Here is a 13,766-nt window from a genome sequence, read left to right on the forward strand (position 1 = left end):
TTAAACTTCTTGAAGACAGAAGCTATTTTTCCCTTCATTTTTGTAATTCTTTTAGCAACTTGGTAACTTGTGCTCAGTGGATATTTATAAAATATATGTCAAATTAAATTCAAGTGACTGAAAGCTCTAGAAATAACCTTGTGTAACCCTTCTTGACACAGATGTGCCATTTGAAGTGCCCATTTGAATATGATTTTTTAAATTTTTACATATTGAATTTTCACATACATAAAGTTGGTTCTAAAAGGCTAAAAGTACTGGTATACTTGACACAGAATCTCTCCCCCCTCACATTTCATTTTAATTTATTGCACAGATAGAAAACTAATGGGTACAATTATATGGATATAATCTTTCCATCTGGGCTAGTTCATGAACAAAGCATATTAGGTAATTTACAAGCTATATCCTGGCTTGCTTAAAACAGTATCTGTAACATTTTGGGAAATTTTACTAGTTCAAGAGAGGGAGAGATAAGTGAATTGATTTACATGGTCGATTTGGAAGACTTATGGATCCTCTGGAAAGAAAATAAACTCAAGAGTTTTCAAATATAATGTCTTACAATTCTCTCTTTAGAAAGGAAGAAATTGTAGTTCTTTAAAACTGATTAACTATGAGGATGGTAAGACTGGGGGAAAGGATAGGCCAAAACTTGGCCTGAACACGAGTGTCAGCTGATCTTGAAAGAGTTTCTAATTTTAGTGTAATTAAAATAAAAATTTTTAATAGCTTCACCTATTGCCACATAATATTAATTAGGCCTCCAAAGACAAGAAAAGCTCCTCTATGAACCACTTTTACGGGAATCTCTGTGCCCTCTTAGAGTTTCAAGTGTGCGACTTGAAAGATTTAAACTACAAAATTCTGTGTGTATGTGTGTGTCTCTCTCTCTGTCTCTCTTTCTCTCTCTATGTGTGTGTGTCTGTCTCTCACACAGACACACACACAGACACAAACACACACACACACACACGTAATTTTCTCCCAAAAAATTTACACCCAAATTAATGGCGTGTTCCTTTTTGACAAAGACTTTGGCTAAACCCTCTTGTAAAACATTCTAAAATGGCTAGTGATATCTACCTACTGACAAGGAGTCAGTGTAATCAATAACCCAATCAAACACTCAAAATGCTTAACTATAATCTTAGGATTTTTAAATATCCTGATCATTTTCACTTGGTACTTCATATTGAATGAATATCACCAAGATCCAACTTGATAGGCTGGGCGCAGTGGCTCACGCCTGTAAATCACAGCACTTTGGGAGGCCGAGGCGGGCAGATCACGGGAGGTCAGGACTTTGAGACAAGCCTGGCCAACATGGTGAAACCCTGCCTCTACTAAAAATACAAAAATTAGCTGGGCGTGGTGGCAGGCGCATGTAATCCCAGCTACTGGGAGGCTGAGGCAGGAAGTCACTTGAACCCGGTAGGCGGAGATCGCAGTAAGCCGAGTTCTAGCCACTGCATTTCAGTCTGGGCAACAGAGAGAGACTCCGTCTCAAAAAACAAAACAAAACAAAACAAAACAAAAAAAACAAAGATCCAACTTGATTTAAAAAAAAAAAAAAAAGGTGGGGCTGGGGCTGGACTGGCCGGGCGCAGTGGCTCACGCCTGTAATCCCGGCACTTTGGGAGACCGAGGTGGGTGGATAACCAGGTCAGGAGATCGAGACCATCCTGGCCAACATGATGAAACCCCGTCTCTACTGAAAATGCAAAAATTAGCTGGGCATGGTGGCTGGTGCTTGTAATCCCAGCTACTCGGGAGGCTGAGGCAGAACCCGGGAGGCGGAGCTTGCAGTGAGCTGAGATAGTGCCACTGCACTCCATCCTGGAGACGGAGCTAGACTCCGTCTCAAAAAAAAAGTGGCTGGACTTGCCAGAGTTGGGTTGGCAAAGAAAACCCATCCAATTTTAAAATGATCAAGGTCATTGTAGACTTTGAAAAATCTTTATTTCTGTTTGTATACAATGGTGAACTTAAACAATTCGTGAGAATTTTGCAAGTCAGTATAAGCTCCAATTCTCCTTCTTCAGAAATGGAGAAGAACTTTTTTAATATTACATATTTTTCTTTAAATAATAAAGAGACAAATTAATTCCTATTAAATCTTAATTTGGAAGTATTGTTTGATTGTGGAAGATTCTAGAATGCATGTTAAGAATCTGATTTTGTCTATGAGCTCCTTCCCTGTTTCCATGGTTCTCTCCAGTTCTACCTTCCAATATTCTCATCATGTTATACTTTATCCAAAAAGACTAAACTTTTCACCCTTCTCTGAATATACATTTTCATTACTTTCCACCAAACTACTTTTAAATATCTAAAATTCTACCACTTTCCAAGGAGACTTATGTGCTATTACAAACAAAATAGGCCTATAAACAAATAACTAATATAAATGAAAGCTGCCTTAATCATTACAAAACCATTATTAGGATTAAAAAGCCCTTACTAAATAGTAATCAAACATAATTTTAGAGCTAGTTTAATGGCAATTATATTTCAATACATACTTTAAAAATGTATGTTGTGTCTCTTTAACACCTAGCTCTAAGAAATTAAAATTATTATTATCACAATATTTTATATATATGACTAACAAAAAACTCGCAATATTAATAAAATGCCATGTTTCTCTACTCTTTAAAAAGAGTTAAGCTAATATCAATGTACTAAGTAATAAGAGTAAAATATGTTTGCAAATGGACATGGAATATTCACCTATGTTAGAACTTTCTCCTTCAGTCTACCAGCTCAAATCTATATGAGAAACCTATTTTTAGTTCTTGTAAAAGAATAAAGCCTGGCACCCATTTTTAGTTTAGCAAGCTCATAGTGACACATAGAGCATTTTTCTATAGCGTTTTCATAGCATATGTTGTATGGATCACATACTAAATATTTATTTTGTAATTTACAGTCTAGAGGAATTATGAAAAAAGAAACTGGGTAAAAAATATTAGATCAAACTTTGATAATAATAAGTTTAAGTAAGAAACTAACTTTTGAAATTTACATGTTAGCTGGGCATATTTCAAGATATCATCTGTTGGGAAACACCTAAAACAAGTTGTTTTCTAGTAAGATTTACCCCCCACCGCCCCCGTTTTTTTTCTTTTAGCTGAATTGTTATGTTTTTTTCTGAACAAGTATTTGTGTGACAGTTTCTACTGCTACTGGTTCAGCTGACATTCTATCATAAATAATAAAAATTCTTGGATATTTTTACTCTTACAAATATAGTAAATCTTCACTTATATTAATATATGTAAATTGTACATATATAATATATGTAAATTGTACATATATAATATATGTAAATTGTACATATATAATATATGTAAATTGTACATATATAATATATGTAAATTGTACATATATAATATATGTAAATTGTACATATATAATATATGTAAATTGTACATATATATGTAAATTGTACATATATAAGATATGTAAATTGTACATATATTATATATGTAAATTGTACATATATAATATATGTAAATTGCACATATATAATATATGTAAATTGTACATATATAATATATGTAAATTGTACATATATAATATATGTAAATTGCACATATATTATATGTGTAAATTGTACATATATAATATGTGTAAATTGTACATATATAATATATGTAAATTGTCATATGTTACAGATGCTTTAGAAACATTGTATATTTGAATAACTATACATCACAGGACCACAGAATTCTGGAATACGTGTGAATTAAAATCATTAAAATGTTTATAAACTGAAAACTCAGTCATGTGAATTTACTTATGAAGAATACCTTAATATCACAGTAGAGAACAGAGTATGGGAGATGTTTAATTTTAGTCCAGTTTTAAAACAATGATATGTTTAACTGGCTGCTTACTTTTAAATGATATATTCATAAAGTTTAGCAATGTTCATTCACAAATTTTCCCTGTAAATTTAACTTTCCCTGCACTAATCAACAATATAAGTTAGTAGACTCTAGTTACTTCTGGATTGCTTGGTTCATATCTTAAAAAGGAGAGATTTTTTTAAATGGTGTTTACTCAGAAAGTAATGACATCTTTTAAGGGAGAAAATTTGGCATTTTACATTTCAGAAGCAACAGTATTGGCAGATGTATATCAGGATTTTAAAAATTCCTTGCAAAAATATGCATATTCCAGCCAGCTGGAAACAACATGAGACCTTTATTCTACGGGAGATCTAGAGAGGTTGTGTGCCTCTCTAGATCCCCTTCCTCCATATCCTACAGTGAGTTAATAACCAGTGGTGGGCAAGAATGCAGATCACCTGCCTTTTGGGTAGGTGTAATTTTTCATTACCTTGAAAGTCTTAAAGGTAATCCTCGAATATCGAATACTTTATTATTTATTAAATCACATTTCTAACTGTTCCAGACCATGTTTCTATAGCCTGTGTACACAGTGATTGACACATAAAAATCAGTCACATTTAACAAGTGCATGAACTTAAACATCTTTATATGAATTTAATATCTAATTGTGAATTGCTACTCACTATGTGATCGCCATCTGTCATTCAGCATGAACTGAGAACTATACATTATCACTATTTATTGGTTCAATCTTTTTCAAGGCACAATGCCTAAGGAAGTTACTGATTATTGATCCACCGTAATTGAAATGCCCACACATTTGAAAAAAGATGGTTAATGAAAATAACTTGTTTCCCTGTATATTGATTTAACTAAAGAAAGTAAAACGCATTTGTGATTCGCTTGTACATTGTTTTCTAACCACAATAAAAACTGACTTGAGAAGTTTGTCAGACGTATATATTTATTTCACAAATAGGTATCTTTTTGATGGCTTTTGTGAAGAAAATGATGCATTGGAATTGATATATTGTGCATAATATAAATGCCAATAATACACTTATTCTTCTAGATTTTTATTTATTCTAAGTTTATCCAATTATTATGTAGGGCTGTTTACATCAAAGATTGACTGCCTCTGGTTTTGCTCTGGGGAGTCTTAGCTTTTGCCCTATGTACAGCTCTGTGCTTCTAAGGCAGAGCAAAAGTTGTTGGTGCTCGTGGGTTTCTCTCCTTCTTGTGCCAGAATCACTTCCCTGCAAGACTGCTTATGGAACATTCCTAACCCACATTTGTTTCTCCCAGGACTCTGGCTCCTTTGAGGGATTTGCCGGCCTAGCTGGATGGAGGTATTCCAGCTCTGCTTTCTTTCAGATAATATTTCTATTCATTTTATCTAAATAAAGGATTATATTAGCTAAAAACGATTGAACTTGAGATATGAGTAGGTACCTTTCTAGTATCTGGTTTTGTTACAGGTTCTTATGGTTGATTTTCTGCCTGTAATGTAGTATTTTAATAGAACCGTCTTTAAATAGCAACAACTCCTAGGAAAAAGTTTCGAGGAAACCTATGCAAGCTTTTTGAAAGAAATTGGCATTTAAGTGCTTAATTCAGTTAGCAACTCATAAAGTCTATATTGACTGGGATGCAAATAGCCTTTATAAGCATTAATTTCATGACATGAACATTTTGTAGAAGTGAATGTAGAGTTTGTAGATCCTTAGGCAAATCTTCACTGTCAGTTGAATTTATTTAAAGAGCTTTTCTGGTCACCTTTGAACCTCAATGATTTCTCCAGATGTACAGAAGTGAACAATGTAAAAATCTTGCTGTTTCAGCAGAACTGATTCCAGCTGGCTGGGAACTGGATCTGCAAGTCATTGGTTACAGCTGTGTTTCGATTTATGTGATGGTTGAAAAAATAAATTACCCGATTAGATGGCTGGAAAGAGGACTCTTTGTTTAGCCCTTGTGTGGGGACTGAAAGTGTTTATGGTGCTGTTTTCTACGCAGTCTTTGCAAAGTAAGCTGGACAAATAGACTTATTCAATGCTTCTAAGAAATGTTGCATATTCAGCTTTAATTCTTCTACTAAAGAAACTGTATTTTTTTATAGTGCTGTCATCCAGCAAATGTTTTAAAGGTCTAGCATTTAAGAGAAGCAGTACGTTTTCTGTCCTACTGAGCACTGCATTTAGTAATTGAAAAGCAGTTTTCTTTTGTTTAATGTGTACTTTAAAACATGTCTTTGTCAGGCACGGGAATGGGAATACATTTTCTCTTAAACTCAATACTTTATAATAGCAAAGTATCTGAACATAAGTTCTAACTTAACCCTTTTCCTCAGTGAGTTATGGCTAGTGTCACATAAGAGAAAATACATTAATTAAATTGCTGTATAAAGAAATATAGTCAAACATTACTGTAAAAAATTAACATGCCTGTGGGCCACTTAGGCTATTAGGCTTTTGAATTTGTGAATGTTTTATTTGTTATAAAAGTAAAGTTTTGTATGGAGAGTTTGGAAGAGCGTTAATCAGCATATAACTTTCCAGGCTAGTAAAAGTCAAAATGCTAACTCTTGGAGCTTTGGTATACAGAGCCTAACAAAATACCTCCCCAAAGAGACTAATATACTAACACTATCTTGTGTGAGGAGTTTTTTGTTTGTTCTATTGCATTATTTTTTTAAGGTAACTTAACTTGGATCATTCTGTTTCCTAAGTTATAAGCTGTCAGAACCAATGAATTGTTTACAGCTCACCCAGTTCCACTGTGGCATTAAAAAAGTGAGCGGTGGCTCTGGAACAGATAGCTACGATGATATGTCTTCATCATTATTTTCTCAAACACTGATTTGCTAAATGATTTCAATATTTTTTGGAAATTTATTTTTTTCTTTAATGCTTTCTAAACTCCTGAAAAGGGCCCACATTCTTCAGTGAACTTGAGACTGAGGCCAAGCACTTGACTAGGTGTCACAAGGTCTCCTAAGTTCAGTAGCAGTTCAGTGTGGGGAACACCCAGGAATGTGTTATATTTTCCAAGAAAATAGACAATTCTTTGCTATTTCCTTTCTTAAACAGCTATATATTATGGAATTTAAAGATGCAGAATAAATAAGCATAATATATCTAATAGGAGACAAAGGTGGGATTGATCTGTCTTGAATTGAAAGTCAGTTTTGCTATGTTACGCTATTTTCTTGATCAATGAAAGTATACCTTCTAACCCTTAACAAAATCAATACAATTGATTGGAAAAGATAGAACAAAGCATGAGAATGCAGAATACACTTGAACCTTCATTATTCAGAAATATTTAAATGATGTTTATAATGCTTAGAAGCATTTTCCACTAACTCCATGTAATGGAAGCTTCTTTAACCAAGATTGAAGACCTGAGTAATAGAGTTTGAGAATATGCTATAGTGGCATCCTTCATAGAATAACATGGTTTTTGTTTTTTTTTTTTAAGTTAAACTCATCTCACATTACTTATACTTCTAAAAGTGAGAGCAATTTCTATTACTGAGCATAGAGATAGCAAAGTGAAATTCAATCTTGAAAATAAAGTATATAAATTAATATGAAAAACTTAGAAAAGAAAAAAGTATCTATAAAGAGAGAGCACTTTTTAATTTAAAATAATTTACTCTATATTTTGTGCTCCTGCTAACTGTCATAATTAGTAGATAAAGCATTTTCTTTTCTTATGAAAAGAACCCTACAAAATTAGCATATTTTTTACATGAAAGAAAACTCTAAAAATCTAGAATAAAAATGATTATACACAGTCAGTATAATACCAATCCATTAATAACTTTATTCCCCTTCAATTAAGGAGCACTTGAAAAATGAATATTTTTTGAAACCAAAAAAGATGTTTTTAAAGTTTTTGCAAGTTGATAGAGAATTTTTAACCTATGATTCACCTGTTTTTCTGGTTTCCTTTGTATTCCAAATTTCAGAAATCCACTTAAGGAGGTTTTATAAACTATATATCTTATCCTGACAAATTTTAAATGCCTTATTAAAGCTAAAGTGTGTCTATTAGATCAATGAATCCTAAAATGTTTTTTTAATCCACATTGGCTAATTTTTGCAGTCATCCAATGAAATTATGAGGTTTTCTCCCCAGTGCCTATGCCATAACTGTGTTTACACATTTTTAAATCTTAGAAAATTACTATCTAGTTATAAAATGAAAATACTTTATATAGTATTTCAAATAATTAAAAATTTCAGTGGGAATAAAGTAATCTACATAAAAGATCTAGTATAACATTTTGAAGTTGCCATATTATGCAGCTAATGTGAAATGGTACAATTTTTTTTTTTTTTTTTTTTTTGAGATGGAGTCTCACTCTGTTGCCCAGGCTAGAGTGCAGTGGCCTGATCTCGGCTCGGTGCAACCTCTGCCTCCTGGCTCAAGCAATTCTCCTGTTTCAGCCTCCTGAATATCTGGGACTACAGGCGCACACCACAACGCCCAGCTAATTTTTGTATTTTTAGTAGAGATGGGGTTTCACCATATTGGTCAGACTGGTCTCGAACTCCTGACCTCAGGTGATTGACCTGCCTCAGCCTCCCAAAGTGCTGCAATTACAGGAATGAGCCACCACGCCTGGCCTGAGATCATACACATTTTTGAAATTCAGCTACTAGGTGAGATACCACAGGGATATAGGAAGAGGCTATGTTATTAGCTTTACTGGGGATAAATGTTACTGGACAGTTATTATGAGGGTTAAATTAGATAATTATGTAAACAGATATCTAAATAGCAGATAGTAATTACCAGGATGTGTTTCCAATTGTACTGTCCTTCCATTGCACAGGATTTAGGGCTAAATTGGGCTTTGGAGATAACCTAGTCCTCTCTCCTCATTTTAAAAATAAGAGAACTTAGGTTCCAAGAGTTAAATGACTTATCCAAGATGATAGACATTATTAATTACAGAATTGGCACTAGAACCAGTTTTTCTCACTCTTAGATCAGTTATTTTTCTACTTTCTCACTTCGTTTCATGGTGTTGTACATGGCCTACCATATGGAAAATAGTACTTTTCTATAGTTACGTTACTTAAAACATAAATTTTTATTGATCCTGTACCATAATATTCACAGTCTAAATACAACAGTGATTCTGAAGTCATTTGAAGGCTTCTCACTTATATTCATTCTTAAAAAGCCAGGATTAATTATTTTCTCTCTCACCTGTTAGGAAGCACATCAACCCAGCAGAAACATTACTTATTAGTATGTACAATATGGAGAACTATTGAAAAATACTCTTCCAGATTTGTGTGTGTATATATATATATATTTTTTTATTTTATTTATTTATTTTTTTGAGACAGAATCTCGCTCTGTTACCCAGGGTGGCGTGATCTCGGCTCACTGCAGCATCTGCCTCCTGAGTTCAAGCAATTCTCCTGCCTCAGCCTCTAGAGTAGCTGTAACTACAGGTGTGCACCAACAAGCTCGGCTAATTTTTATATTTTTAGTAGGATGGGTTTTCACCATGTTGGCCAGGCTGGTCTTGAGCTCCTTACCTCAGGTGATCCACCCGCCTCTGCCTCCCAAAGTGCTGGGATTACAGGAGTGAGCCACCGTGCCTGGCCTCAGATTTGTATATAATTTGTTAGGGTATAATTTTTGTGGTCTCCAAATTGCCCCTTATTATCATTCCCTGCCTTTTCCCTGAAAGAGAAACACTCCACCAGCATCCTCAAGACCTAGTTGTTCCTATGTGTGGTTGCACAACAAAGTTCACATCACTTTTAACTCAAGACCTTCCTCAAGTTCCTCTTCTTGCTCTGTTCCCTCATCTCAGTGTCATCTCTGTAGTGTGCTTTGAATGAGGTCCCCTTGTGGATACTGGTGACTAACAGACTAGACTGGAAAGTAGGTTGTACACTTCCGGAGAGCAGAAGAGGGGAGAGGGCAAGAGGAAAGAAAACAGGGAAGGGAAGCCATGAAAAAGAGATTGCTACAATGAATTACAACTTTTTTGTATTACTAAATGCAAGAATGAACATTAGATTTTTACATGCCAGGATCATTCCTAAAAGGAGGAGAAATCTCTGATTATTTGTTTTTCCATGGTAGTTGTGATATTCTACACTTACATATATCAAAAGAAAGAGAAAGAAAGTAATTTCAGGTTGGCAAACCTATTGCATCCTGGTCATAAAGTGCCTGAATTTAACACTGAGTCATTTTCTTGTCCAAATACAAAAATCTTGAAAGAAAATATAGGTCAAGTTTTTTTTTTCCTTGTTAAAAACCAATGATCTCTTTCATCGTGAACCTTTTAAAGTAATAACTCATATAAATTTACATTTTACATTATTTAATTTGGCTTAAAATAATTATTAGTTCTAGAATCTGATTTGTAAATCAAAATTGTCATACCAAGGTACACACACACACACACACACACACACACACACTCACAAACACACTCGTATCATCTGGGATTTTTTCTCAGTTAATTCTGTAGAAAATTCCTAACCAGGGCTGGGAGTGGTGGCTCATGCCTGTAATCCCAGCACTTTGGGAGGACGAGGTGGGCAGACCACAAGGTCAGGAGTTCGAGACCAGCCTGGCCAACATGGTGAAACCCCCGTCTCAACTAAAAATACAAAAATTAGACAGTCATGGTGGCATGCTCCTGTAATCCCAGCTACTCACGAGGCTGAGGCAGGAGAATCACTTGAACCCGGGAAGCTGAGGTTGCAGTGAGCCAGATCGTGCCATTGCACTCCAGCCTGGGCGACAGAGCAACTTTCCATCTGAAAAACAAAAACAGAAAAAAAGAAAATTCCCAACCAGTTCATCCTAGTCCACAAGAATCTGATTTTTGTCTCCCTTGTCCTTTAATTACTCTTCCTTGTCTCCTAAAAAAAAAACAAAAAAAAAAAACAAAAAAACAGTTTTGTATGCTCCTAACTGCTGATTGCTCCTTATTTTAACTGGATTTTTAGAAAAGACTTTTTTTTTTTTGAATTTTTGCTACTCACACTACTATTACATCACTTCTTTATTGAAAGCAGAAATATGTAATATGTGTTGTTTGGCTCTAAAAAGAGAATGACTGTCATTTCTGGAAAAGTTAGACAAGTAAACACCTCATATTTATTCGGAGACTTTAGCTTGAGTAGTTTTTTTGTGTCTTCTGATAGTATTGTTATCAACTATTTCAAAGTTAGTATCTATATACCCTTTTTCCTTAAGTAATCATGCATATTTCCAGACTATTAGTAAATAAAAATAATAGATACTCTTCAGTCAAAAGAAATTCTATTTTAGATCTTCAAATAAATCAACATAGTTTCATTCTCTTAAAAGAGACTTGAAAGAAAATATTGAGATCCCATAATCAATTATGCTATAAAACTTTTCACAAGGAAAATTTAAGTCAACAGTCTCCTATAAAACTTTCTGCAGGGTTGGAAATGTTTTATATCCAGGCTGTTCAAAATGGTATCCACCACCATGTGCCCTTCTACACATTTGAAATATGGCTAGGGCAACAGAAAAAAAAATGAATTTTCACTTTAATTTAAATTTAAATAGCTACACGTGGCTGGTCACAGCTTATTGGAGAATGCAGGTTAAGTAAAACAAAGAAAAAATGCAAGTAATAAACAATAAATTCTGCACATCCATGAATTTTGAGTCAAAATTTGAACTGTAGTTGATTTTTTGTCTTTTGTCTTCTATCCTTCTTACTCCAAATCTCACTAAATAATTTAAATATGATCCCCTTCTTAGCACTGATTTCAAATGGCGTTTATAAGAAATAAAAGATTCCTGCCTTAGTAGTCAGGTAGAAGGCAGGTTGTATTAAAGTATTTCAGAGTAGTCAGTTATTACTTCCTTTAACTGAAAATATTTTTTGACATTAAATTCATATCTATCTTACTTATTTTTTAGAAAGTTAACAGAACAAATCTCCAAAATCACAAAAATAGTTGATCTAGCAAGGCAATACTTGCATTATACTACTTAAATTAAATGTAAAACAGCATCAAAATTTTACTTTGTAAATATTTTAGCCATAGTCAAAGTATAAACTCTGATTTAGGGATGCTTTTGTATTGATGATAAGATGTTAAGAATTAGAAGAGACCTTAAACCTGTATATATGACAGTGGTAATTGGACTAATTGATTGCAACATCTTCTTTCAAATAAATATTGATTTAATCAAGTCTGCATTCCCATTGGCCTTAACGGAAGTCCTACCAGAAGCCTGTGCACTCGGATCTGGCTAACCTCTATCTGGATATAAATATTTTAAATGCATGGCCATTCAGTTCTAAGTATGAATTTTTTGGCGAGTATTTATTCCTCTTGATTTTCTAAATTCCTCAGTTAACATTGTTATGCCTTCTGTAAAGTTAAGGCCTGTGTGTGTGTATATCTCTGTATGTAATAGAGAGATAGCATGGATTAGGGGAAAAAAAAGTTGTATTTGCATTTGTTGTTTCTGATTCACAGAGCTAGGAGTGCAGTGTTCATGTGGAGTCCACAGAGCTGGAATATCAGTAGGCAGTTGCTGTAAGCACATGTTCAATTATTAAAATAGTCAACATTTTATGTCTGATAGCCATAGCGAGGTCATGACATTAATTTATCCAAAGTATTGTGGGCAACTGTCTAGAAAAATAAATAGCATAAAGGACACAGATGCCAGAGAACTAAAAAAGAAAAAAAAAAAAAGGTGGGTCTGAGCAAAGAGAGATTAAGAGATGACCAATTTATTTAATCCACATAGAACAGGAAGAAGTCAGCAGGTGTCTCAACGTTAATGACAAGTATTTTAAGCTATGCTGCACATGAGTTAATTTTTGCTTTAGTTTTTCATTAGATTCTAAGCTTGTTGAATACTACTCCTATTCTTCCATGTCAGAAACTTAATTTCATATTTTATTGTTGCTTCAATGCTTAGGGATTCTTTGCTACCTGTTTCTTTCTCTCCTTTTTCATTCTTCCCTTCCCTCTTCCCATTTCTGTGTTTCCCTTTCTTCTTCCCTGTTATTATTTTCCTTCTTGCTTTTCTCTCTCATGAGAGTATATTCTTAATTCTGTTTCCTTCTGGTGCCAACTTCTTTTTCTATTTTTATTCTTGCGTTTGAGAGGTTTCTTTTTCCTTTTGCTTTCAAATCAGGAGCCTGTAGGAACTGATCTTAGAGATACATACCCTACTACCGATGCTTCTATCTCTTTATAGGTTGTGTGATGTTTTCTTTGGAACCTCTGCGAATGGTTGTCCTTCTTGTTTGTTGCCACAGATCTGTTGCCAATCTGCTACCTTAGTTGAGCCTGCAGTGCCGCACTGCATGCTGGGATCTGTCTGTGTGAGTAAACTGAAATTTCTACAGCACCAGACAGCATTAGAGTTGGCTTGAGAATTGCCGTACTTTGCTTCCCTTTGTATGTATTTCTTGTATGCTGCCGAGTCACTGATGGCTAGCTCTGTCTGGCAAGTAATTCAAAAATGCTGTTTATGTAGAAAGGAAAGGTAGGGACTTTACCACACTCTGTCATTAAAGGGAGCAATTGAAGAACAAAGGAACTGAGTAAATACCTATATATTGCCTTTTGTGTTGCGAAACACTGTAGCACAAACACATTTGTGTTCAGCCAAATGTTTTACTTCCTTTTGTAATAACGCATATAGTAGGTTGTCTCCACATATGTACAAGAATCCATATTTTATTTAAACGTATATAGTCAATTGTTCATATTTATAGGCTGCAAACATTTCTCAATCTCAAAGACTTTTACATATCCACTCCCACACAGCTATTTGTTATTATTTTAAAAGTTCTTAAATTAAAAAAAAAAATAAAATATACTAATATCTCTGTTGGTTGATTTTATTAAGCAA

At 34.1% G+C, this 13,766-nt stretch overlaps 1 long non-coding RNA gene across 14 annotated transcripts in view, besides 2 other annotated features; it reads left to right on the forward strand.

Annotated features, from left to right (window-relative positions):
• The window catches only part of MIR99AHG (mir-99a-let-7c cluster host gene), a 561,240-nt gene that overhangs the window by 503,536 nt on the left and 43,938 nt on the right, over positions 1 to 13,766 (forward strand). The window lies entirely within an intron of this gene.
• Positions 4,669 to 7,316: an enhancer, noted in NCBI's record as "VISTA enhancer hs1441". NCBI's record gives its function as "enhancer in: somite[7/9] | limb[9/9]" and the evidence as "EXISTENCE:transgenic organism evidence [ECO:0001131][PMID:17130149]".
• Positions 13,004 to 13,698: an enhancer, noted in NCBI's record as "OCT4-NANOG hESC enhancer chr21:17959347-17960041 (GRCh37/hg19 assembly coordinates)". NCBI's record gives its function as "activates a minimal SCP1, AML or CMV promoter by ChIP-STARR-seq in primed H9 embryonic stem cells {active_cell/tissue: H9 hESC(primed)}" and the evidence as "EXISTENCE:reporter gene assay evidence [ECO:0000049][PMID:30033119]".

Source organism: Homo sapiens, chromosome 21 (assembly GCF_000001405.40).
Source record: "Homo sapiens chromosome 21, GRCh38.p14 Primary Assembly".
NCBI classification, from domain to species: domain Eukaryota; kingdom Metazoa; phylum Chordata; class Mammalia; order Primates; family Hominidae; genus Homo; species Homo sapiens.